Source organism: Homo sapiens, chromosome 11 (genome assembly GCF_000001405.40).
Source record: "Homo sapiens chromosome 11, GRCh38.p14 Primary Assembly".
In the NCBI taxonomy this organism is placed as follows: Eukaryota; Metazoa; Chordata; class Mammalia; order Primates; family Hominidae; genus Homo; species Homo sapiens.
In genome coordinates this window covers 9,967,499-9,994,268 of record NC_000011.10, presented here as the reverse complement: position 1 = coordinate 9,994,268, position 26,770 = coordinate 9,967,499, and the positions used below count along the sequence as shown (strand labels likewise).

General features: G+C 38.5%; 1 protein-coding gene across 11 annotated transcripts in view, besides 1 other annotated feature; it reads left to right on the top strand.

The window, feature by feature from the left end:
* Positions 1–26,770, top strand: part of SBF2 (SET binding factor 2) — a 526,174-nt gene that overhangs the window by 310,573 nt on the left and 188,831 nt on the right. For 9 of the 11 annotated variants that reach the window (NM_001425069.1, NM_001425070.1, NM_001424318.1 and 6 more), the window contains 5 exons: positions 271–348; positions 1,166–1,279; positions 1,726–1,854; positions 4,674–4,772; positions 25,724–25,928. In NM_001425069.1, the coding sequence (NP_001411998.1) occupies positions 271–348; positions 1,166–1,279; positions 1,726–1,854; positions 4,674–4,772; positions 25,724–25,928 (625 nt within the window). The remainder of the gene's footprint in view (positions 1–270; positions 349–1,165; positions 1,280–1,725; positions 1,855–4,673; positions 4,773–25,723; positions 25,929–26,770) is intronic. The other 2 variants (NM_001386342.1, XM_047427658.1) reach the window with 1 other exon arrangement.
* Positions 10,594–11,793: an enhancer, noted in NCBI's record as "MED14-independent group 3 enhancer chr11:10004023-10005222 (GRCh37/hg19 assembly coordinates)". NCBI's record gives its function as "activates an origin of replication core promoter dependent on BRD2, BRD4, P300/CBP and CDK7 cofactors, and independent of MED14, by STARR-seq in HCT116 cells {active_cell/tissue: HCT116}" and the evidence as "EXISTENCE:reporter gene assay evidence [ECO:0000049][PMID:35650434]".

Here is a 26,770-nt window from a genome sequence, read left to right as displayed (position 1 = left end):
TCTCCTGACCTCGTGATCTGCCTGCCTCAGCCTCCCAAAGTGCTGGGATTACAGGCGTGAGCCACCGCGCCCGGCCGAACATGTTTCAACTGAATATTTTGTCTTGGAGATCTTTCTACAATAGTACATATAGAACTACCCCAGCTAATTGAATTGTATTCATGGAGGGAATATATTATAATTCATATGCTGACATTTTCATCTTAATGTCTCAATAATAGATTTCATTGATATTATGATATTTTACATAACAAAACTTTTTTGCTTTAGATTTTACACCCAGATTTGGAAGTAGCAGATCATGCTTTTCCTCCTCCACGAACAGCTTTATCCCACTCAAAAATGCTGGTAAGAAGTTTAATATTTAAATTTAATGCTGTTAAAGAGAGCTGTATTTTTATTTATAGGGTTGTTAAAGAAGCTAAGTGAAGTTAGAGTTAGATGGACAGCAGAGTAAAAAGTGCCCCAAATTAGAAATTAGGATACTTGCCGCTGACTGTCCTTATGTCCTGCTCAAGGAGGAGCCACAGGGAAGTTCACTGGGCAAGAGGCCACTAGGGCTAAGACTGTTGCCCTGAGGAGGCATGAGTTAAGTGTAGGACAGAAAATCAGAGCCTAGATTATAGCCTGGAAAACTGTGCCAAGCATCAAATTGAAATGGCCACACAAGGATTCAAAACAAAAGAGATGCTTACAAGAATGGATATAAAGAATGTTGGTTATAGGAGAGAATCAAGTTTGAAGAGTCTGTGGATGAAAATAGTTTCAATTAGAAGCCATAAAAGGTTACGTATATAACAGAGGCCCCTTTTTTATTTTGCTCAGTGCATTTCTTAGCAGTGGGCTTTGTAGCCAATAAGGAACCTCAGGGAGCTGAACACATATACTTAAGCATTCTTGACCTTCATTTCCTGATCAATTAAGTAAGGCATTGACTAACAGAATCTGTAAGTTTCCTTACAGTTCTAAACTGTGATTCCAATAAAAGCTGGATTAAATACAATCTTGAGAGTTTTTTCTTCTTATGTTTGGTTGTGACTGTAATTGTTTTGGTGGATATAAAAATCAAAGGACTTGGAATATATGCCCTTTTCACCTTTTTGACTTGATATTTCATTTGTTTTTAAAAAGTTAAATTACCTAACATTTCTTCTTATATTTTTAGGATAAAGAGGTGCGAGCCGTTTTCCTTAGATTATTTGCACAACTCTTCCAAGGATATAGATCCTGCCTGCAACTTATAAGAATTCATGCAGAGCCAGTAATACATTTCCACAAGGTAAGATAGAGTACTATATTGTATCTGTCCAAAAAATATATTCTAATTTAATAAAACTACTTGGTTTTTTTTCCGAGCCATTTATTTTGACCTTGATTTATCAAATGTGATTATTTAAAATCTCTGTGTGGTTAGATATCAGTTCTTAATAATAATATGGAACTCATAATATCTTAGAATATGTTAACTTTAAATCAATTTTTCTTTTAAAATTGAATGTTAATTTCTGATTTCTTCTCCTGACATGTAGACAGATTCATTTTTATTCTTTTCAATATATGTAGTATTTCAGAATAACTCTCTTTGAGAGAAATATATTTTATGACAGCATATATTTATACATGAAGGGATTTATATAGGCTTTGATCTTTTTATTGTATTTCTGTTTTGACCATTTGTCCGTTACCAAGTGATAAATTATTATTTCACATTTTCTTTTTTCACAGACAGCATTCTTGGGGCAGCGTGGTTTGGTCGAGAATGATTTCCTCACTAAAGTACTCAGTGGAATGGCATTTGCAGGTTTTGTTTCAGAAAGAGGTCCTCCTTATAGATCTTGTGATCTCTTTGATGAGGTATAGCTCTTATTAAATGAAGGCATTATTTATAGACATAATTAGACTAGTAGTTAAAAGTAAAAAGTAACATTTTCCATATTTATATAGTCAAATATAAATTAGGTATTAAATAATCCCAATGTTATTTATTATGCTTATCAAATCTCGATATTTTAATGTGGATTATAAAAATTACAAAAAATTATAAGATGCCTTGGAAATACATATAATTTTTGAACAACTGAATTTTAAATAATTGAACAATGTATACTACTCAGGTGATGAGTGCACTAAAATCTCAGAATTCGCCACTATGTAATTCATCCATGTAACCGAAAACCACTCATACTCCAAAAGCTACTCATATTTTAAAATATTACATTTTAAAAAATGGTTGTTTAAAATATTTTTGAAAATTTAATAGTGATTGTATAAATAGAAGTCTTATTTTTAAAGGCCCTAATACAGTAATTCTTTTGTCAGTGTTTTAGGGAGAAAGGTCTAATTTGAAGCTAAGATAGCTGAAATTACTTCAAACTGGAGTTACATTTAGTCTATCAAAATCATAGAGCCATAGTTTAAGTTTGTGGCATTCTCACTAATCAATTATCAACATTTCTCTACCTGTCTTAGGAGACATTAAATATATGGAAGACAAATTTTTGTCTCTATCTTCAAGGAATTAGCCATATAAAGGGAGAAATAGGGCAGATGTGACTCAAAATAAGGATGCTGTTTTGCATTTATTGTGCTCTTTTTTAAAAGCATCTTTCCTTTTATCATTTAACTCTATATTCACAGCAGCCCACTCTGGTGGATAGAACAAGAATATTATTCTCATTTCAATTTTTGAAAGAGTACTATATTAGAACCAAAAATGTAAAAAGTTTCTTGAAATCTATAAAAGAACAACACTCCTAGAACCCAAGATATTGGAGAATCGTGGCAGTGATCATGTTTTGCTTCTGGTGATTTTCTTTTATATAGAGAAGGTAGGAATCAAGGTCTTAAATATCTTTGGTTCAGAGGAGAAGGATCTTTTATTTTTTGTAAAGATAGTGAAGTATTCACAGGTAAGAATTTTTAAAGAAGAGGCACATATTTTAGTTCTGTGTAGAATATGTTTACTGCATCAGATGCTTTAATTAAAAACACAAAGCATATGAAGATTTAGGAAACATCCTGAGGTGGACAAGTTTTTCTAATCAATTATTGGTCATTGATTCTCTAATATTACCATCTAATATGATTGGTTATTGATTCTACTAACATATCAGCCTTTAGATTCTGTACTAAGTAATTCATAACATAATATTTTATGGGATTAAAATAGATGCTCTCCAAGGTCTTTTCTAGCACCTACATTTTGTTAGTCTTTGAAGCTTTATGAATAGTAACATTGGTTTATATACTCTTTCTTTTCTATTCAAATTTATCTTCCTCTGACAGCTTCATCACAACTAAAAAGTGAGATTAGTTACTTGCAGAAAACTTGCTTGCCACAGCCTCTATTTTTGTAGGTCTTTCCCTTGCTTGGAGTGCCCTCCTCTGTTCTTCATACTCTGCTCTTATCTCACCATCTCTTCCAAACTCTCCCAAAGTCGTTGACTCTGAGAGCCACTCGACTGCGTTAGGCTTCATTTTGTCTCTAACTTTATATGGTAACTTATTTTTTATTTATTTATTGTTTGTACAAATATAGTCTAGATTGGAAACAATGATAAGGCAAGGACTCTGTCCAAGGTTCCTACTGAGTCACCCCTTAGTGTTCATCCAGTTCTCTGTTTGGCCTACAGTGGTGACTTTGGGTGTCTTACTTATGTTACTTGACTGCCAGCTAATCATATGTATGTATCAGTCAAGAGCCTAAGAAAAATGAGCCATCAGAACTAAATAATTTCTCATTCTACCCTCTTTGGCCGTTTGCATGGGAATGCTTTGGTAGAAAAATAGCATTTGCTCCTGGGAAAGTGATCCTTGTTTTCACTTAGCCTGAGGCAGCCTACCACAATGGGGTGTTATGGGGGCTTTGAGAGGCAGCTTGCATTGTGCATGGCCTTGTCCTCACACTTCCATCAGATAGATGTCTTAGAATGAAAAGAATGTTTGCCCTTGACAGTCTTTCTTTATCCTAGCCTAGAATAGGTAAGCCATAGTTTTATATGCCTATGCAGTGAGTCTATTAGTTCCTAGAAGAATCCTGTATTGTACCTTTTTATTTTTGTCATCCATCTATTTACCCCCCCACAATTTTTTTTTTCTGTCAGCCTTCTTTTCTTTACCCCTAAGTATACAGACTCACACAGTTCTCCCAGTAAATTAGTTAATAAAGAGATAGTTTGAGAACTAGAAGGAGTCTAAGGGTCATCTTGTTCTTCCATCTTATTTTAGAGATGAGAAAACTGAAGCTTAGGAGTTTAAGTGCCTTGTCCCAGATCACACACTGTCAGCAGAGCTAGGACTAGAGTCTGAGCATCCTGACTTGAACATTTGGTTCATGTTTTGTGAGTTAAGGAAATGTTTAGACACTTTCTGACTGTCTGAATTTCTCTGACTGAGGCCTGTGGAATGACAGGGTCTCTCTGAGTTCCAGAAATGACTTTTCCCTAGAAGAAATAGGGCCCTAAATCCTCAGGGAGGAACCACTAGACAATTCAAGGGTTTGATTGACCCTGTAACCCCAGAATGGAGGTGAAACCCCAAAACCTGAAATATTTTGTTTTAAAAATAATGTATATGTTGGATTTTTTTGGCTTGCAAATTGTATGAAATTATCACAGTTTTTGAATTTGGCATATTTTGGAATTGATGTTTTGCCATTTGATTCTTTTTCCTAGTTGGTAGCCTTTGAAGTAGAGAGAATTAAAGTTGAAGAAAATAACCCAGTGAAGATGATAAAGCATGTCAGGGAACTTGCTGAGCAACTATTCAAAAATGTAAGTAAGTATATTTATTTAGACAGTCATTAATTTTATTTATTTATTTATTTTTCCGTAAGTTATTGGGGTACGGGTGTTACGTGGTTACGTGAGTGAGCTCTTTAGTGTTGATTTGTGAGATTTTGGTGCACTCATCACCCAAGCAGTATATACTGCACCATATTTGTAGTCTTTTATCCCTCGCCTCCCTCCCACTCTTCACCCCAAGTCCCCAAAATTTATTGTATCATTCTTATGTCTTTGCGTCCTCATAGCTTAGCTCCCACGTATCAGTGAGAACATACAATGTTTGGTTTTCCATCCCTGAGTTACATCACTTAGAATAATAGTCTCCTATCTCATCCAGGTTACTGCAAATGCTGTTAATTCATTCCTTTTCATGGCTGCACAGTATTCCATCGTGTACGTGTGTGTGTGTATGTGTATGTATGCATATGTATATATATATATATATTTGGCACAGTTTCTTTATCCACTCATTGATGGGCATTTGGGTTACTTCCGTGATTTTGCAATTGTGAATTGTGCTGCTGTAAACATGCATGTGCAAGTATCTTTTTCGAAGAATGACTTCTTTTCCTCTGGGTGAAACCCCGTAGTGTGATTGCTGGATCAAATGGTAATTCTACTTTTAGTTCTTTAAGGAATCTCCACATCATTTTCCATAGTAGCTGTACTAGTTTACATTCCCAACAGCAGTGTAGAAGTGTTCCCTGTTACCACATCCACTCCAACATCTACTGTTTTTTTATCTTTTGATTATGGCCATTCTTGCAGAAGTAAGATGGTATCGCGCTGTGGCTTTGATCTGCATTTCCCTGATCATTAGTGATGTTGAGCATTTTTTCATATGTTTATTGGCTATTTGTATACCTTCTTTTGAGAATTGTCTATTCGTGTCCTTAGCCCACTTTTGGATGGGATTGTTTTTTTCTTACTGATTTGTTTGAGTTTGTTGTAGATTCTGGATAGTCGTCTTTTGTCAGATGTATATAGATTGTGAAGATTTTCTCCCACTCTGTGGGTTGTCTGTTTACTCTGCTGACTGTTCCTTTTGCTGTGCAAAAGCTCATTAATTAGGTCCCAGTTATTCATCTTTGTTTTTATTGCATTTGCTTTTGGGTTCTTGGTCATGAAATCCTTGCCTAAGCCAATGTCTAGAAGGGTTTTTCCAATGTTCTAGAATTCTTATAGTTTCAGGTCCTAGGTTTTAAGTCCTTAATCCATATTGAGTTGATTTTTGTATAAGGTGAGAGATGAGGATCCAGTTTCATTCTCCTACATGTGGCTAACCAATTATCCCAGCACCATTTGTTGAAAAGGATGTCCTTTCCCCACTTTATGTTTTTGTTTGCTTTGTCAAAGATCAGTTGGCTGTAAGTATTTAGGTCTATTTCTGGGTTCTCTATTCTGTTCCATTGGTCTATGTTTTTATACCAGTACCATGCTGTTTTGGTGACTATGGCCTTATAGTATAGTTTGAAATCAGGTAGTGTGATGCCTCTAAATTTGTTCTTTTTGCTTAGTCTTGCTTTGGCTATGCGGGCTCTTTTTTAGTTCCATATGAATTTTAGAATTGTTTTTTCTAATTCTGTGAAGAATGATGATGGTATTCCGATGAGGATTGCATTGAATTTGTAGATTGCTTTCAGTGGTATGGTCATTTTCACAATACTGGTTCTACCCATCCATGAGCATGGGATGTGTTTCCATTTGTTTGCATTGTCTGTGATTTTTTTCAGCAGTGTTTTGTAGTTTTCCATGTAGCGGTCTTTGGACTCCTTTGTTAAATATATTACTAAGGATTTTAACTTTTTTGCAGCTATTGTAAAGGGGTTGAGTTCTTGATTTGGTTCTCTGCTTGGTCGCTGTTGGTTTATTGAAGAGCTTCTGATTTGTGTACATTAATCTCAGATCCGGAAACTTTGCTGAATTCTTTTATCAGTTCTAGGAGCTTTCTAGAGGAGTCCTTGGGGTTTTCAAGGTAAATGATTATAACCGTCAGCAAACAGTGACAGTTTTACTTCCTCTTTACCGATTTAGATGCCCTTTATTTCTTTCTCTTGTCTGATTGTTCTGGCTAGGACTTCCAGTACTATGTTGAAAAGGAGTGGTGAGAGTGGGCACTTGTTCCAGTTCTCAGAGGGAATGCTTTCAACTTTTCCCAATTCAGTATTATGGTGACTGTGGGTTTGTTATAGATGGCTTTTATTACATTAAGGTATGTCCCTCGTATGCCAGTTCTGCTGAGAGCTTTAATCATAAAGGGATGCTAAATTTTGTCCAGTGCTTTGTCTGCATCTATTGAAATGATCATTTGATTTCTGTTTTTTATTTTGTTTATGTGGTGTATCACATTTATTGGCTTGTATGTTAAATTATCCCTGCATCCCTGGTATGAAACCCACTTGATCATGGTGGATTATCTTTCTGATATGTTGTTGGATTTGGTTAGCTAGTATTTTGTTAAGGATTTTAGCATCTGTGTTCATCAAGGATATTAGTCTGTAGTTTTCTTTTTTGGTTATGTCCTTTCCTGGTTTGGGTATTAGGGTGATGCTGGCTTCATAGAATAAATTAGGGAGAGTTCCTTCTTTCTGTATCTTGTGGAATAGTGTCAAAAGGATTGGTACTGGTGTTTCATTGAATGTCTGATAGAATTCTGCTGTGAATCCATCTGGTCCTCGACTTTTTTTTGTTGGTAATTTTTTAATTACCATTTCAATTTTGCTGCTTGTTATCGGTCTGTTCAGGGTATCTAATTCTTCCTGATTTAAGCTAGGAGGGTTGTATTTTTCCAGGAATGTATCAATCTCTTCTAGGTTTTCTAGTTTATGTGCGTAAAGGTGTTGCCTTGAATGATCCTTTGTATTTCAGTGGTGTCAGGTGTAATATCTCCAGTTTCATTTCTTAGTGAGATTATTTGGATTTTCTGTCTTCTTTTCTTGGTTAATCTTGCTAATGGTCTATCAATTTTATTTATCTTTTCAAAGAACCAGCTTTTTGTTTCATTTATCTTTTGTAATTTTTTTTTGTTTCAATTTCATTTAGTTCTGCTCTGATCCTGGTTATTTCCTTTCTTCTGCTGGGTTTAGATTTGGTTTGTTCTTGTTTCTCTAGTTCCTTGAGGTATGACCTTAGATTGTCTGTTTGTGCTCTTTCAGACTTTTTGATGTAGGCATTTAGGGCTGTGAACTTTCCTCTTAGCACCGCCTTTGCTGTATCCCAGAGGTTTTGATAGGTTGTGTCATTATTGTCATTCAGCTTGAAGAATTTTTTAATTTCCATCTTGATTTCATTTTTGACTGAATGCTCATTCAGGAGCAGGTTATTTAAATTCCATGTATTTGCAGGTTTTGAAGGTTCCTTTTGGCGTCAATTTCCTGTTTTATTCCACTGTGGTTTGAGAGAGTGCTTGATAAAATTTCAGTTTTCTTAAATTTATTGAGGCTTGTTTTATGTCCTATGATATGGTCTATCTTGGAGAAAGTTCCATGTGCTGTTGAATAGAATGGGTATTCTGTGGTAGTTGGATGAAATGTTCTGTATATATCCATTAAGTCCATTTGTTCCAAGATGTAGTTTAAATCCATTGTTTCTTTGTTGACTTTCTGTCTTGATGACCTGTCTAATGCTGCCAGTGGAGTATTGACGTCCCCCACTATTATTGTGTTGCTGTCTATCTCATTTCTTAGGTCTATTAGTAATTGTTTTATAAATTTGGGAGCTCCAGTATTAGATGCATATATGTTTAGGATTGTGATATTTTCCTGCTGGAGAAGGCCTTTTACCATTATATACTGTGCCTCTTTGTCTTTTTTAACCACTGTTGCTTTACAGTTTGTTTTGCCTGATATAAGAATAGCTACCCAGCCAGGCGTGGTGTCGCACACCTGTAATCCCAGCACTTTGGGAGGCCAAGGCAGGAGGATCACCTGAAGTCAGGAGTTTGAGACCAGCCTTGCCAACATGGTGAAACCCTGTCTCTACTAAAAATACAAAAATTAGCCAGGCATGGTGGCGAGTGCCTGTAATCCCAGCTACTTGGGAAGCTGAGGCAGGAAAATCACTTGAACCTGAGAGGCAGAGGTTGCAGTAAGCCAAGATAGCACCACTGTATGCCAGCCTGAATGTCAGAGCAGGACTCTATCTCAAACAAAACAAAACAAAAAAAAACAACTAAAAAGAATAGCTACCCCTGCTCGCTTCTGGTGTTCATTTGCATGAAATGCCTTTTTCCACCCCTTTACCTTAAGTTTATGTGAGTCGTTATGTATGTTAGGTGAGTCTCCTGAAGGCAGCAGATAGTTGATTGGTGAGTTCTTATCCATTCTTCAGTTCTGTATCTTTTAAGTGGAGCATTCAGGTCATTTACATTCAATGTTAGTATTGAAATGTGAGGTACTGTTGCTTTCATCGTGCTCTTCGTTGCCTGTGGGCTTTGGTTTTGTTTTTTGTTATTGCTTTTTAACTTGTATTTTTGTTTTGTAGGTCCCGTGTGATTTATGCTTTAAAGAGGTTCTGTTTTGATATGTTTCCAGGATTTGTTTCAAGATTTAGAGCTCCTTTTAGCAGTTCTTGTAGTGGTGGTTTGGTAATGGCAAATTCTTTCAGCATTTGTTTGTCTGAAAAATGACTGTATCTTTCTTTCATATATGATGTTTAGTTTCACTGGATACAAAATTCTTGGCTGATAATTGTTTCGTTTGAGGAGGCTGAAGATAGGGCTCCAGTCTCTTCTAGTTTGTAGAGTTTCTGCTGAGAAATCTGCTGTTAATCTGATAGGTTTTTCTTTATAGGTTACCTGTTGCTTCTGTCTCATAGCTCTTAAGATTCTTTCCTTCGTCTTAACTTTGAATAACCTGATGACAATGTGCCTAGGCGAAGATCTTTTTGCAATGAATTTCCAGGTGTTCTTTGTGCTGCTTGTATTTGGATGTCTAGGTCTCTTGCAAGGCCGGGGATGTTTTCCTCAATTATTCCCCCAAATATGTTTTCCAGGCTTTTAGAATTATCTTCTTCCTCAGATACAGCGATTATTCTTAGGTTTGGTCATTTAACATAATCCCAGACTTCTTGGAGGCTTTGTTCATATTTTCTTACCCTTTTTTCTTTGTCTTTGTTGGATTAGGTTAATTCAAAGACCTTGTCTTCCAGCTCTGAGTTTCTTTCTTCTACTTGTTCAGTTCTATTGCTGGGACTTTCCAGGGCATTTCCCATTTCTAAAAGTGTGTCCAAAGTTTCTTGAATTTTTTATTGTTTTCTCTTTAAGCTATCTATTTCTATGAATATTTCTCCATTCACTTCTTGTATCATTTTTTGGATTTCCTTGCATTGGGCTTCGCCTTTCTCTGCTCCCTCCCTCATTAGCTTAGTAACTAACCTCCTGAGTTCTTTTTCAGGTAATCAGAGATTTCTTCTTGGTTTGGATCCATTACTAGTGAACTAGTGTGATTTTTGGGGGGATGTTGAAGAGCCTTGTTTTGTCATATTACCAGGGTTGGTTTTCTGGTTCCTTCTTATTTGGGTAAGCTCTGTCAGAGGGAAGGTCTAGGACTGAAGGCTGTTGTTCAGATTATTTTGTCCCACAGAGTGTTCTCTTGGTGTAGTACTCTCCCTCTTTTCCTATGGATGTGACTCCCTGTGAGCCGAACTGCAGTGATTGTTGTCTCTCCTGGATCTAGCCACCCAGCGAGTCTCCCTGGCTCCAGGCTGGTACTGAGGATTGTCTGCACAGAGTCCTGTGATGTGAACCGTCTATGGGTCTCTCAGCTGTGGATACCAGTGCCTGTTCCGGTGGAGGTGGCGGAGGGTGCAGTGAGCTCCATGAGGGCCCTTAGCTTTGGTGGTTTAATGCTCTGTTTTTGCGCTGGTTGGCCTCCTGTCAGGAGGTGGTGCCTTCCAGAAAGCATCAGGTGTAGTAGTGTGGAGAGGGACCAGTGGTGGGCGGGGCCCTTGAACTCCCAAGATAATATGCCCTTTGTCTTCTGCTACCAGGGTGGATAGGGAAGGACCATCAGGTTGGGAAGGAGCTAGGCCTGTCTGAGCTCAGATTCTCTTTGGGCGGGTCTTGATGTAGCTGCTGTGGGGGATGGGGGTGAGATTCCCAGCTCACTGGAGTTGTGTACCTAGGGAGATTATGGCTCCCTCTGCTGAGTCATGCAAGTTGTCAGGAAAGTGGGGGAAAGCCGGCAGTCACAGGCCTCACCCAGCTCCCACGCAAACAGAAGGGCCAGTTTCTCTCCCGCTGTGCCCCCCAGTAGCCCTGAGTCTGTTTCCAGGCAGAGGGCAAGACGGGCTGCCAGACGGGCTTGAAAACTTGCCCGAGGCTATCCGCCTCCCAGCTGTGAAAGAAAAGTGCTTTAGTTCTTCCCCTGCCTGTGAAGTCTGCAACCCGGATTTGCAGCCCCCACCACCCCCGGGGCTTCTCACCCCATTCAAATAGTTAAAAAGTTCAGCTAGAGAATTCCTTCTCCCTGTGGAGTTTTACCTGCTGCTCCTCTGGCCACCCTTCTGAGGGATCCCTGTGGTGCCAGGCAGGAATGGGCTGCTTTGGGACCCGGCAAGCTCCCAGGGCCTTTCTGCTGCTTTCTCTACCCCTGTATTTCGCTTGGCTCTCTAACTTGACTCAGCTTTAGGTAAAGTCGGAAACTTCTCCCACAAACAGACCTTCAGCTTCTCCGGTGTGTGTTCGGGAGAGGAGGGTCTCCCTTTCCCACTTAGACAGTTGGGGCACTCACAGTATTTGGGGTGTCTCCCGAATCCCGCAGGAGCAGTTCACTTCCTTCCGAGGATCTGTGGTTCCTCTCCAGATTGCTGGTTTGTTCTTGCAGTTGATCTAGAGCTGAAACTCACAATGCAAGCCTCCACATGCTTCTCTGTCTGGAGCTGCAATCTAGTCCTGCCTCCCATCTGCCATGATCCACTCTATTTAGACAGTCATTAATTTTAAAAATATACTGTTAAATAAAGTATTTTGTTCACAGAACTAGAAAGCTTCCTGTGATAGTTTTTTTGCTCTGGATTGTAAATTATGAGATATTACAGTTGGTACTGTATATCAAAATAGACCACATTTTTCAAAGTAATTTTCCTGTCAGTCAGTGTGTTATGAAAACATGTTAGTCACAATTTTTTCAGTTAGTCATTTGCCCTCATTATGGTTTTCATTTGGGTCTCTTGTAAGACATAAAGATTAGACTCACTGGAGACCAGAACCACCTCAGACAGAACCGACCAGTGTCCTCTGCTTTGGCTTGGCACTGCGGTTGTCAGCTGGTCAGGAGTTGCATTGTTTTGAACAGAGGGAGCGAAAAGCTGAAAGAAAAAAAGCAAATTGACAAGTGACCACAGAAACACAAGGATGAAAATATTCCATGGATAGAGGAAATGCAGTAAGTTAAAAGGACTCGGATGTGATAAAGTGTGAAATAACTATTTGAACACCAGGAAAGAAAAGAGCATAAAATGACAGAGATTATATTCATATGGAAAAATGGATTTGGGCTAATGAGTGTTCCTTATTTCTTCTGCTGTGAAGTTTTGAGTCCTAAGAAAAGTAAAGTAAGTCGGAACTATAGTCCTCCAGGGAAAAGTTGAGGGAAGATGTGATTTTTTTTCATTACGATTAGGTCCTGACTTTAGTAAACAAAAAAATATTCTGGAAGACAGAAATGTAACATTCGATACTGTTTCTAATCTAAACATTGTCAAAGTAGAAATTTTCTTTTAATTTGTGGTTCTAACATATACTTTATCTGTATAGCAAATAACTTCTGCAAAGACAACTCAACCGATCTAAATTTAAAGCCATATCATTGATTTAAATATAATATTGGCATCCAAAGATTAAAATATAATAATGGTTATACATTTTCTCATTAGTCTTTTCATAAGGGAAATATAGAATTGAACATTAAAATCTTACTAATAAGATGGTGGTTATTGGTTGTATATCTCTTGAAAAAATAAAAGAAATTATAAATCAAGTAAACTTTTGTTTTTGCCGATTTCAAACGTTTTTTAAATAATTTCAACTTTTATTTTAGATTAAGGGGCACATGTGCAGATTTGTTAGCTGGGCTTAGTGTGTGATGCTGAGGTTTAGGGTACGATTGATGCCATCACCCAGGCACTGAGCAGAGTACCCAGTAGTCACTTTTCACCCCTTTCCCTACTCCTTTCCTCCCCTGTCTAGTAGTCCTCGGTGTCTATTGTTGCCAGCTTTAATGAGTACCACTTATTTAGCTTCTGGGGAAGATGTATTTTTAAGGAAATAGTGAAGAAGAATTCAGGGTCAGTATCTTGACTCACAACAGGTATTGTTTAATTTAGTGATTTGACTAGATGGACCTTTTTGGACACTGGATTATTAGTCAGTGCTTTGTCACATTCATTTGAAATTTGAGAACCAATTGGATACAAGCAGGGATACTAAAACATTTGTTTCTTTATGTTATTCCATTATTTCTGAGTTTTAAGTTCTACATTTAGAATGTGATCTTTCTTTGAGGGAATAAATACTTTTTTGAAAGAGAACAAAGTAAAGTTCAGAGGTTTCATATTAAAACAAAAAAATCCATCTTTTATGAATTATGCTTATCTAAATTTTGGTAAATAGAAAATTATTGCTGGGCGCAGTGGCTCATGCCTGTAATCCCAGCACTTTGGGAGGCCGAGGCAGGCAGATCACAAAGTCAGGAGATCGAGACCACAGTGAAACCCCATCTCTACAAAAAATACAAAAAATTAGCCGGGCGCGGTGTCAGGCGCCTGTAGTCCCAGTAACTCCGGAGGCTGAGGCAGGAGAATGGCGTGAACCGGAGCTTGCAGTAAGCCGAGATCTCGCCACTGCACTCCAGCCTGGGCAACAGAGTGAGACTCCGTCTTAAAAAAAAAAAAAAATTCTTAAGTTCTGTTTTATCAATTGCTAGTGGTTCATTATAAATTCTGGAAATAGATATGGTCTGCCAGTAATATTAAGGGAGCAGTAATATTACTAACACATGCAGAAATCATTAGCCATAACATTTCTTGTGCCTGTTAAAAGATGAATTTAGGCTGAGTGTGGTGGCTCATGCCTGTGATCTCAGCACTTTGGGAGGCCGAGGCAGGAGGATTGCTTGGGGCTAGGAGTTCGAGACCAGCCTGGGTAATATAGTGAGACTCCATCTCTACAAATTTTTTTTTTTTTTTTTTTTTTTTAATTACAAGAGGCTGGGTATGGTGGCTCATGCCTGTAATCCCAGCATTTGGGAGGCTGAGGCGGGCAGATCACTTGAGGTCAGGAGTTCGAGACCAGCTTGGCCAACATGGTGAAATCCCGTCTCTACTAAAAATACAAAAATTAGCCGGGCATGGTGGCACGTGCCTGTAATCCTAACCATTTGGGAGGCTGAGGCAGGAGAACTGCTTGAACCCGGGAGGCAGAGGTTGCAGTGAGCCGAGATCACACCACTGCATCCAGCCTAGATGACAGAGCAAGACTCTGTCTTGAAAAAAAAAAAAATTACATGTGGTGATGGACACCTATAGTCCTGCCTGTTCAGGAGACTGAGGTGGGAGGATTGCTTGAGCCCAGGAGTTCAGCCAAGGAGTTTGAGGCTGCAGTAAGCTATGATTGAGCCACCGTACTCCAGCCTGGGCAACAGAGCAAGACCCTGTCTCAAAAAAAAAAAAAAAAAGATGAATTTAATTTCAATTTTAAATTACTTAACACAGAAGTACTTTAATTGACTGTTACTTGTAGATTATTAGCTTCTTTACTAAGAAGCAATATTTTCAGATTTCTAAATACATCACACATTAAATCATAATACTGGTTTAGCAAAAGTATAAATAAATTATTTTTCTGGCAACTTGCATGCCAAGATCTGTTACTTTAATTTATTGACTGATCACATTTTTAGTTATTTATAACCATGCCTGATATAATAAATGTGTTTCCTGATTAGTATACTAAAACTTAAAAAAGAAATCTGGTAGAATTCTGTTAGAAGGAAAACTTGTGTTGTATGCTGGTCTTTGCCACTTATAGTGGCTGTGTAGAAGTAATTACAGCATGATCATATGAGAAATTTCTTTTGACCTATTATAATAATAATAAATATTGAGTTCATGTATAAACATACTGCTTTTCTTTCCATGCTCAGTTGATGATGCAGGAGTTGGCCCACTTTGGCTTTCAGAATCTTCAGTGTCTGCATGAGAGCAGTTAGCTATATTGTGCCAGGCATGGAATTAAGCACTTTACATACAATTATCTCTCATCCTCATAACGACAATGTAAGGCAGGTGTCATTATCCCCATTTTAGTGGGGCTAATTGGCTCAGAATCATATGACTCTTAAGTGATTAAATCCAGATTTTAAATTAGGAATTTTCATCTATTCATTTCCTAAGCCTATGTTCTTTCACTATAAGGCTGGATCGCCTCCAATAGGAAAAAACGATGTTTCCAGTAGTTGACTTTACATGTTGTTCTTTTTGTTTGTTTGAGACAAGATCTCACTCTGTTGCCCAGGCTGGAGTGCAGTGGCACAATCTCGGCTTACTGCAGCCTCGACCTCCTGGGCTCCAGCAATCCTCCTACCTCAGCCTCCTGAGTAGCTGGGACTACAGGCGTATGCCACCACACCCAGCTACTTTTTTTGTATTTTTTGGTGGAGACGGAGTTTCACCGTGTTGCCCAGGCTGATCTGGAACTCCTGGGCTCAAGGGATCCACTCGCCTCGGCCAAGGAGGTCGAGGCTTGAGCCCAGAAGGTTGAGGCTACATTGAGCCGAAGTCCTGCCACCACACTCCAGCATGGGTGATAAAGTGAGACCCTGTCTCAAAAACAAAAACAAACAAACAAAAACAATCAAACAAACAAAAACATGGACAATCCCTATTCTTTAAAATTGACACTTTAAAAGTGATCATCGTGAAGTATTATTATTAAGAGATTATATTACTAGGTAAGAGCCCTTCAAATGTCTTCTACATTTCATAGGCCTTATTGGAAATTTTTTTCACAATCTAATTATATTTCATTTAATTTAATAAATTCTATTAGTTAAGTACTTATTAGTGCCAGGCATATTCTAGGTACGTAATTCTCCTAATATCCTTCAGAAAAGGATACACAGACATGACAAGTAAGAATTTGTGACTGTCCCAGTGGATTGTCATTAGATTGTCTGAGATTCCTTCTAGTGCTAAGATTCTGAAGTCCGTGATGACAAAATCATCATTCATGAAGTAAATACTTTATAAAGTTAAAAAACAGAACATGATAGTAAAGTTACTTTCTTAGGTTATGCAGGAAATTGGGGGAAGGGAGGCAGGATGGTATCAATGCGAGGAAAATAATCCACATGGTTCTATTTTTAACTAGTCAGTTGTTGTTTTTTTAATCACATTTCTAAAATTCCCTTTTGATAAGCAAGAACCAGCCATCTAATTTGACTCTTTCCTTGTTATTGGGTTGGAATTGAGACCTGGTGATTCCATTCAGATGTTTGTAAATACTTTATTGCACTGAAGTCTGGTATGTGTATCTAGGCCCTCTTTTCATTTCCCTTTGAAGCACCTCAAAAATACACCTTAATTTTCCTGTCTCTTCTCACCACTCCTTTATATTGCTTTTTAGTGAGATTTTAGGAATGTGAGTAGGATGAATTGTAACTGAGCTTAGCTGCTCTTTTAGCTTTCTGGAGCTTCCCAAATAATTAAGAAAGGCATTTGGTGACTTTGGGGGAATGGGTTAGGTGGAAGGAAGGAGAAGGAAATGACTAAACCCACTAGAGACAAACAGTGTAAGCATTGGTAACAAAGATTATTGTAAAAAAGATATTGTAACAGAGATTATCGGCAACACCTCTATGCAGCTTCTTTCCATTCCCAATTCATAATGTAGGAGTTGGCCTACTTTTTTGGCTTTCAGAATCTTCAGTGTCTGCATGAGAACACAAGTAACTACTTCCCTGCCCTATCCCTATGATTCTTTTTTTTTTTTTTTCTTAAAGAGACAGGGTCATGCCCTGTCACCCAGAAAGGAGTGCAGTGGCTTGATCATAGCTCATTGCAACCTTGACCTCCTAGGTTCAAGCAATCCTCCTGCTTCAGCCTTCCTAGTAGCTGGGACTACAGGCACACATCACCATGCCTAGCTAATTTTTTGTAATTTTTTTGTAGAGATAGGGTCTCACTATGTTGCCCAGGATGGTCTTGAACTCCTAGCCTCAAGCAGTCCTCCTACCTCAGCCTCCTAAAATGTTGGGATTACAGGGGTAAGCCAATGCCCCTGGCCTCTATGATTCTTGATATGCACATATAAAGGACCACTAATAAATGTTTTCACAAAGTGAGAACATTAAGATAGGCCAAGACAAAAAGATAGGCCAAGACAAGAACTTCATAAAACTTCTACTTCAGGGCATTAAGAAATCAGTTGGGTGGGGTGCGGTGGCTCACGCTTGTAATCCCAGCACTTTGGGAGACTGAGGCAGGTGGATCACGAGGTCAGGAAATCGAGACCACGGTGAAACCCCGTCTCTACTAAAAATACAAAAAAATTAGCTGGGCATGGTGGTGGGCGCGTGTAGTCCCAGCTACTCGGAGAGGCTGAGGCAGGAGAATGGCGTGAACCCGGGAGGTGGAGGTTGCAGTGAGCCGAGATCACGCCACTGCACTCCAGCCTGGGCAACAGAGCGAGACTCCATCTCAAAAAAAAACAAAAAACAACAACAACAAAAAAAAAGAAAAGAAATCAGTTGGACATGTGTTTTATTGTTTTACATAGTACAGTTTTTGTAATTTGTTTTGCATCTGCAATAGTATAAAAATATTTGCTAGATATGTAATTTGACAATTTTTGTTTTATTGTTTTTTGCTTTTTATTTTGGAGGTGGTGTCTCGCTTTGTTGCCCAGGCTGAAGTACAGTGGCTATTCACGGGCATAAACATAATGCACTACAGCCTCAAACTTCTGGGCTCAAGCGATCCTCCCACCTCACGCTCCCAAGTAGCTGGGACTACAGACACTTACCACCATACCTGGCTTTGTCTGACAGTTTTAGAAAAAGTTAAAGGAAATATTAAAGAACTTAAAATTCTGTGTAAAATAATATCAGATATCTGGGCCAGGCGCAGTGGCTCACGCCTGTAATCCCAGCACTTTGGAAGACCGAGGCGGGCAGATCATGAGGTCAGGAGTTGGAGACCAGCCTGCCCAACATGGTGAAACACATCTCTACTAAAGATACAAAAAATTAGCCAGGTGTGGTGGCATGTGCCTGTAATCCCAGCTACTCGGGAGGCTGAGGCAGGAGAATCGCTTGAACCTGGGAGGCAAAGGTTGCAGTGAGCCGAGATCACGTCATTGCACTCCAGCCTGGGCAGCAAGACAAGACTTCGTCTCAAAAAAAAAAAAAAAAAAAGAAGAAGAAGAAGAAGAAGAATATGAGATTTATAATTGTGCCTTATGGATATTTCATTGCCCAGCATTGAACCAAATAGAATCCTAATGGGAGAACAAAACTCAAATACAAGAAATAACTAGTCCAAATCAAATAAAATCTACGCCCTTTACATTTCCGCAAAATGTTAATTTCACTACCAGGTTAATTTCACTACATGTCATCTACACTGATGATATTTATACTGTTTGCCAACTGTGAATAAAGGAATTTTTTAATTATAGGAAGGAAGTAAAATATTGTGATTACCTTTAGAGAGTCAAGACATAGACATAAACGACTTATATAGATAATGATGATGAAATGAAGCCCTGCCCGCAAAGCATAGGCTTCAAATTGAACCCCCCTCCCGTCCTATCTGATTTCTTTGTTCACTTATAAGTCAGGTTTATCATGATCTAATTTTTATATACAGTAAAATGTATACTTTTTAATCTACAGTTACGAGTTTTGACAAATGCATGAAGTCATACAACCACTAGCATCACAATAAGTAGGTAGAGTATTTCTATCACTCCCCCAAAGTTCCTTAATTCTCCTTTATAGTCACATCTTCCCACCACCTCAAACACTTGGCAACCACTGATCAATTTTTTTGTCTGTATAGTTTTGCCTTTTCCATAATGGCATTATGTAGTTTTTTGAGTTTAGCTTCATTCACTTAGCACAGTGCATTTCAGATTCAATCATGTTGCTTCATACAGTTGTTTATTCCTTTTTCTGAGTGGTAATCCACTTTATGGATGGACTAAAGTTTTATTTACCTGTTGACCAACTGAAAGACAATTTTAGCAATAATGAATAAAACCACCCCAAACATTTGCATAAGTTTTTGTATAAATATAAGTTTTCATTTCTCTTGTATGAATACCTAGGAGTGGGAGGCTGGAATATATGGTAATACAATATTTAACTGTATAGGAAACTGCCAAACTGTTTTCTCAAGTGTCTACGTTATTTTGCATTTTCACCAGCAGTATATTAGCATTCCATTTGTGCCACATCTTTACTAACACTTGGTATTGTCAGTTGGTTTCTTTTTTTCTTTTTTTTTTTTTTTTTTTTTTTTTTTTGAGTCAAAGTTTCGCTGTTGTTGCCCAGGCTGGAGTGCCATGGCACAATCTTGACTCATCACAACCTCTGCCTCCTGGGTTCAAGCGATTCTCCTGCCTCAGCCTCCCAAGTAGCTGGGATTATAGGCATACACCACCACACCTGGCTAATTTTATATTTTTAGTAGAGGCGGGGTTTCTCCATGTTGATCAGGCTGGTCTCGAACTCCCGTGAGCCACCCGCCTCGGCCTCGCAAAGTGCTGGGATTATAGGCATGAGCTACTGCACCCGGCTGGTTTCTTTCTTTTCTTTTTTTTTTTTTTTTGGGCGGTGTTGGGGGTGTCTTGTTTTAGCCTTTCCAACAGGTATGTGGTGGTATCTCATTGTGATTCTAATTTGTATTTCAGCAGGTGAGTGAGAGTATAGGACTGTTAGCTGGTCACTGTATGTTGCCTTCGTACTTGTGACAAGAGTACTTGTCTTAGAATAGGAAATCTCTATCTGGAGTCATGAATTAGAGCAGTGGTTCTCAACAGGAGCAACCCTCCCACCCTACTTCATGAAATTGGTCTGGAGACATTTTTGGTGGTCACAGTTGGAGGGACTGTGCTACTGTCATCTAGTGGATAAAGGCCAAAGATACTTCTAAACATCTTACAATACACAAGACACCTACTCTTTATCGCAAATAATTATCAAGCCCAAATGTCAATTAGTGCATAGGTTGAGAAACCCTGAATTAGGGCAACCAGCATATCAAATATTAAAGTCATCTACTTGTATTAAGGATAAGACATTCAGTTGAATGTCTCAGTCATCTCACAAGGATGTGATCCTTGAAAGTCCTATGAAGTTGGAAAATTGAGGATGAGTCATTCCATCAATGTCATGTACACTACCAGGCAACTCTAAAGAGTCCAGTTACGTTTTGACAATGTTTAACAATTTACTCCAGTGACAGTATTGCCATCAACTGTATTAGAAAAAAAATTTGTGTCACTTGCTATCCCACATAGCTCTAAGTATAATTTGTGCACGTTAAATAATTTCAAATACTTGAATTAATCTGGGAAACTTGATAAGCTCTAACAATATCATATTGATTTGTCTTTCAGTGCTGAGACCAATACATAGGAAAAATTTTCTTTTTCCCAAGGTGGCTGTTGCCTACTTTGAATTTCCATTGGGGTTTGGGGCTTTTGTTGTGCCTTGCTTTGCTTTTATTTGAAATTAGTTTCAAGCCTTGTATTCTGTAACCCCTAGGCATATTCTCACTTAGCCTACCAAAGCTGGGGGTAGCTGGGCGTGCTGCAGGGGGGAGGGGTGCTGCAGACCAGATGATGTGTGTATATGTCACTTTTTCATGTCTGAGAAAAATCATTCTACCTCGAATTACTAAAGTATACTCTTAAAGCAGGATTATAGAGACCATTCCTTGAAAATCATTATCCAAATTCAAAATGTAAAAGACAGTGCATTCTGCCAAACTCTTTTCAGTAGTTTATTTTGGTTACTTTGGAAAAAAATGTTGCCAGGTTCACTGTAAGTGTTTAGTTGTCTAGCCCTTGTTTATTACTTTATATTTGCATTTCTCTGGAATCAAAGATGAAAATTTGGCTGCTGCTTTGTACTGTCGGAAAATAACGGATTTCCTTATTTCAACAAGGAGATTCAACACAAAATTTGGCTGTAGCTTTTAATGAGCTTGGTGACGTTCAAGGGACCAGTCCAAACACATCTTGTGTTACAAGTAAAAGCAGATGTTTTTAAGTATATGCAGAATACAGTGAGCCCTACCCTAAACTTCCTCTCATTGCTATTGTCTTCTCAAAAGTCATTTCGCGACCAAGTTAGGTTCAAGGTAGCAAATGTGGTCCTTTACATTTATCATGCTGCCCGTTAGAGGGCAGCAGTATACAGACTCAGGAGCCAGAAAACCAAATATTACTGTATTCTGGGGCATAAGTCTTTTTCGAATCTTCTAAACACAGCTAAATATATCATAATTTAACAAAATCCCTAATCTGCATTTTGGTGTAGAATATCTATATAACTACAGATATTCAACTTTGAACTTTGTTTTAACATGATCTTTTTTACAAGCTTGTAAATTAATGCTTGTAATTCTAAATTGTGTATGGATTTGGTTTACAATATTTCTAATTGCTTCTGGGAAGACTCTATTTAAAACTTATTGGAGGGCTGGGCGTGGTGGCTTACGCCTGTAATCCCAGCGCTTTGGGAGGCTGAGGCTGGTGGATCACGAGGTCAGAAGTTTGAGACCAGCCTGAACAACATAGTGAAACCCCGTCTCTACTAAAAATACAAAAGAATTAGCCAGGCGTGGTGGTGCACACCTGTAATCCCAGCTACTTGGGAGGCTGAGGCAGAAGAATCACTTGAACCCGGGAGGCAGAGGTTGCAGCGAGCAGAGATCGCGCCACTGCACCCCAGCCTGGACAACAAAGTGAAACTCTGTCTCAAAAACAAACAAACAAACAAAAAACATATTGGATACTACTACTATAATTACTAAAATGTAAGTAGTTGGTAATGTGTTGGAAATCTTGGGAGAAAGAGATGGCTTTAGTTATAGAAGCATGGTACCATGCCATAGAATATGCAGAGAATAAGAGAATACATATTTTTTAAATGAATGTAGCCAAAATTTTTGGAAAACAGCCTTTAGATTCATTCTGGGGTGGTGTGTGTGTGTGTGTTTGTGTGTTCTAACAGCTTTACTGTAACAGCTCGTTCAATACTCATAAGAACCTTATGAAGTAGGTACTATATTATTATCTTCCTTACAGATGTGAAAACTACAACACATGGGGTAAGTGAATTGACACTGCACCAGGTCACACTACTAGTAAGTGGCCAAGCTAGAGTTTGAAACGAGGCGTTCTGAAATCAGAGATCATGAACTAAAAATACTTTGTTATACTACCTCTCATTGAATTGTCTAACCTTTCCCCCTGAATTGTCATGCCACCTATCTCTATCATATTTTCTCACATAGTCCTGTTTTGGGGCTCTCTATTCTATTCCATTCATCCTTTTAACCCTTCACTAATAACAGTTGTTGTACTGTATTAATTATTAAAGGTTTATGTAAGTTTTGATATCTGGAAATCTTAACTCTCCCACTTAACTCTTCTTCAGAATTTCCTTGACTATTTTTGGTCTTTGTATGTCCCTATGAAGTTTAGGATGAACTTACCAAATTATAGGACCAACTCTTTAGAGATTTTGACTAGAAGTGATATGTGCATCCTTCTTTTTCTTTTTCTTTTTCCTTTCTTGAGACAAGGTCTCACTCTGTCACCCAGGCTGGAGTGTGGTGGTGCAATCACAGCTCACCACAGCCTCCATCTCCCAGGCTTAAACTATCCTCCTCCCTCAGTCCCCTGAGTAGCTGGGACCATGGGCAGGCACCACCATGCCTGGCTAATTTTTTATTTTTTTGTAGAAATGGGGTCTCACTATGTTGCCCAGACTGGTCTTGAACTCCTGGACTAAAGTGATCTGCCCACTCCGAACTCCCAAAGTGCTGAGATTACATAAGCATAAGACACTGTGCCTGGCCAATGCATCCTGCTTTTTCTAAACCACCCCAAGTCATTTTTGGAAAAAGACAGAAGACAGATAATATAACAATAGAGAAAAATATATATATATAACTAGAAAAAATACTGGTGTTACTAAGATTATTTCTACTTTTATTTTTCCAAGTTTTAAATTTTATTATAAATATTTACTTCATGGGAAATATATTTAGAGTTTTAATTTTTATTATAAAGAAAATATAGATAGAAACCAAAGTAATGAATATACTTTAAATAATTCAGACCTCAAGATCCATATGAATTACCTGGCCAGCCTGAAAAAAAAGATACCTACCCAATATGTTTTAGAGAATTGATATTTATTATTTTTGGGAAGACAGTATATGAGTAAGAGTCATGCCTAAAGAACAGAGAAGAACAAAAACACTACTTTTTGAAAAGGGCAGTTTTAGACACTACAGGCCAGTGACATTGGTGTTAAGTCCAGACAGAATTGTAAAACACTTTTTCAACATTTGGTTTAGAAAGAGTGATTACTAAGAGTTGGACTAAGGATTTACTTACTTATTTTTCCCTGTCTTTGCTAGATATGGGGGGAAATACAGAGCATGTATGAGAGCTGCTTTGGCAAGAACAGATTTTAAATCTGATTTCACCTTCTGAGGAGCCTTATATAAGATAAGCTTAATTATATAACTTAGGCAAAGTTGTTTTCCCTGCATCACATAATAAGGACTAGAGCAAGAACTGGAACCCATGTGTTTTGACACTTACGGCAGTGGGAGGAAGCAGTGTGTTTCTATTATATTGCTGAGGCATACTAGCTATATCATCTGCCTTAGCCCAACATTTTCTTTATCTAGGTCTGGGCCATATAACCAAAAAGAATTGTGGGGAGCAGCCCTAAGAAGTGATGGCAGTTGGCCATTTTAAGTGTCAAGAGGATGTATGGGAGGCTGAGGCGGGTGGATCACGAGGTCAGGAAATCAAGACCGTCCTGGCTAACACAGTGAAACCCTGTCTCTACTAAAAATACAAAAAATTAGCCGGGCGTGGTGGTGGGCCCTGTTGTCCCAGCTCCTCGGGAGACTGAGGCAGGAGAATGGTGTGAACCCGGGAGGTGGAGCTTGCAGTGAGCCGAGATCACGCCACTGCCCTCCAGCCTGGGCGACAGAGCAAGACTGCGTCTAAAAAAAAAAAAAAATAGGATATATGGGATAGTATTGAGTTTAATCTACAGCATGAATAACATAAGTTCAGTGGGAATAAGGAATTTTCTGGTCGCAAAGAATAAGTGTTAGAATTGGTCAAGAATAGTTGTAAAGCAGCCTTCCCTAGAGAACTTTATGAAAGAATGGATTCCATTCTACCTGGAGTGTTTGAGATCTAATCCTGCTTAACTAGATGACTAAAAAGTTCATGCCAACCCAAAGAGTCTACAAAAATATTAGCTGACACATTTAATTCAATTCTTGCAATCCTTATGTGTGTTCAGCATTGTGTCCCCCTCATTAAGATGCAGTGGGAAGAGCTTTAGAGTGCCTGCTGTGTGCCAGGCAGTTTCTAGATGCAGTAGGTATACGTCTACTCTCATGGAGCTTTATTTTATGGAGAGAAGGATAGACAATAAACAAGTTAAATAAAATGTAAAGTATGTGAGAGAGTGATAAGTGATATAGAGAAAAATATAACAGGGATAGGGAGTGTGTTGGGGAAGAGAGTATAATTTAAGATAAGGTGATTGGGAAAGGTGGCTTTTGAGCTAAGAAATGCAAGAAAGGAAGGAGGATGCTGTACAGATTCATGGGGCACAGGCATTCCAGGCAGAGAGAACAGTTAAGTGCAAAGGCTTTGAGTCAGGAACAAGAAGTTCTGTGTGTCTAGAGCAGAAAAAAATGAAAGAAATCATGGCAGGACACATCATATAGAAAGGCCAGATCTTGTAGGGTGTTGTAAGTTGTTTTAAGAACTTTGGGTTTTATTGTGAGTGAGATGACAAGCCATTGGAATGAACAGAACGGTTATGTGATGAACTGACATACTCTTAACTAGATCACATAGTCTGCAGTGTTGAATGAAGGAGTACAGGTGGAAGCAGGGAGACTAGGAGACTGTTGTATTGCTGTAACGTGAGGTGTTGACTTGAACCAAAGTGTTGTGAAACTGGCCAAGTTGTAAACATTTTAAAGGTCAAGTCCACAAGATCTGCAGAGGAATGGATAGTTGGGTGTTAGAGAATGGCATTAAAGATAACTCTAAGCTTTTTGTCTAAATGATTGGAAAAAATAAATGTGCCATTTACTGATGTGAGGAAGACTGAAGAAAGCAGGGATAGAGGTGGGTGAAGATTAAGAGCTGCATTCTGGACATAGGTTTAGAATTTTTTAAAAAATCCAAGTGAAAATATTGTATAGAGAGTTAAACATGTGGGTATGGGGTTTAGGAGAAAACTTGTTTAAAGAAAAAAACTTGTGAATTGTTGGTATTTTTATGGTTTAAAGATAGGAGACTGGAAGTGATCACCAAGGAATGAATGTTAATAGAAAAAAGACCCAAGGACTGAGCCCTGAGATATTCACATTGTTAAGGGATTAGGGAGATGAGAAATAGACAAAGATGTAGCAAGAAGACCTAGAAACCAAGTAAAGAAAGTGTTCATGGAAGAGGAAGACAGATGCCAAGCTGTATCAGATGCTGCTGATAGAGCATGTAAGAAGAAGTAAGATTTTGGTACTTCATGTTTTATGGCGTATATATGAATGTATGTATAACTACCCAGCTCGTGTCCCTGTAAGCTCCCACTCCCTTCCTGGTGATCTGCCATTGTTATTTTAACTTGGAGTAATTTTACCTATGTCTGATATTACAGGAGAATCCAAATCCTCATATGGCATTCCAGAAAGTTCCACGGCCAACAGAAGGATCCCATTTGCGAGTTCATATTCTTCCTTTCCCAGAGATTAATGAAGCCCGGGTTCAGGAATTAATACAGGAAAATGTTGCTAAGAACCAGAATGCACCTCCTGCCACACGAATAGAAAAGAAATGTGTTGTGCCAGCAGGTCCACCTGTTGGTATGTATTTGTCTGTCTGTTTTAAAAGTAAACTGTTTATAAGGATGTAAGACCCAAAAAGGAAAAGTGTGCAATTTGATGAATTTTCACAAAGTGAACAAACTCCTGTAGCTAGAATCAGAGCATTATCAATACTCAGAAACTGTTTCATTCACTGCCTCCCAAAAAGGGTAATCATAACCCAACCACTGCCACTATAGAATCTTTTCTTTTTTTAATAACAGCTTTATTGAGATATGTTACATACTGTAAATTCACCAATGTAAAATGTGCGATCCCATGATTTTTAGTATATTTACAGACTCATTCAACCATTATTACTATTTAATTTGAGAATATATATATATTTTATATATATATATATATATAGAGAGAGAGAGAGAGAGAGAGAGACAGACAGACAGACAGACAGACAGACAGACAGACAGATTGAGTTTCACCCTTGTTGCCCAGGCTGGAGTACAATGGTGTGATCTCGGCTCACCGTAACTTCTGCCTCCTGGGTTCAAGCAATTCTCTTGCCTCAACCTCCTGAGTAGCTGGGATTACAGGCATGTGCCACCTCGCCCAGCTAATTTTGTATTTTTAGTAGAGACAGAGTTTCTCCATGTTAGTCAGGCTGGTCTCGAACTCCCGACCTCAGGTGATCCGCCCACCTTGGCCTCCCAAAGTGTTGGGATTACAGTCGTGAGCCACTGCACCCGGCAAGAATGTTTTTATAACCTAAATAGAAACCTCACACCTATTAGCAGTCACTCCCCATTTCCTCCCCAAACCACCTTCTCCCCAGCCTTATACAGTAATCTACTTTCTGTCTTCATAGCTTTACGTATTCTGGACAT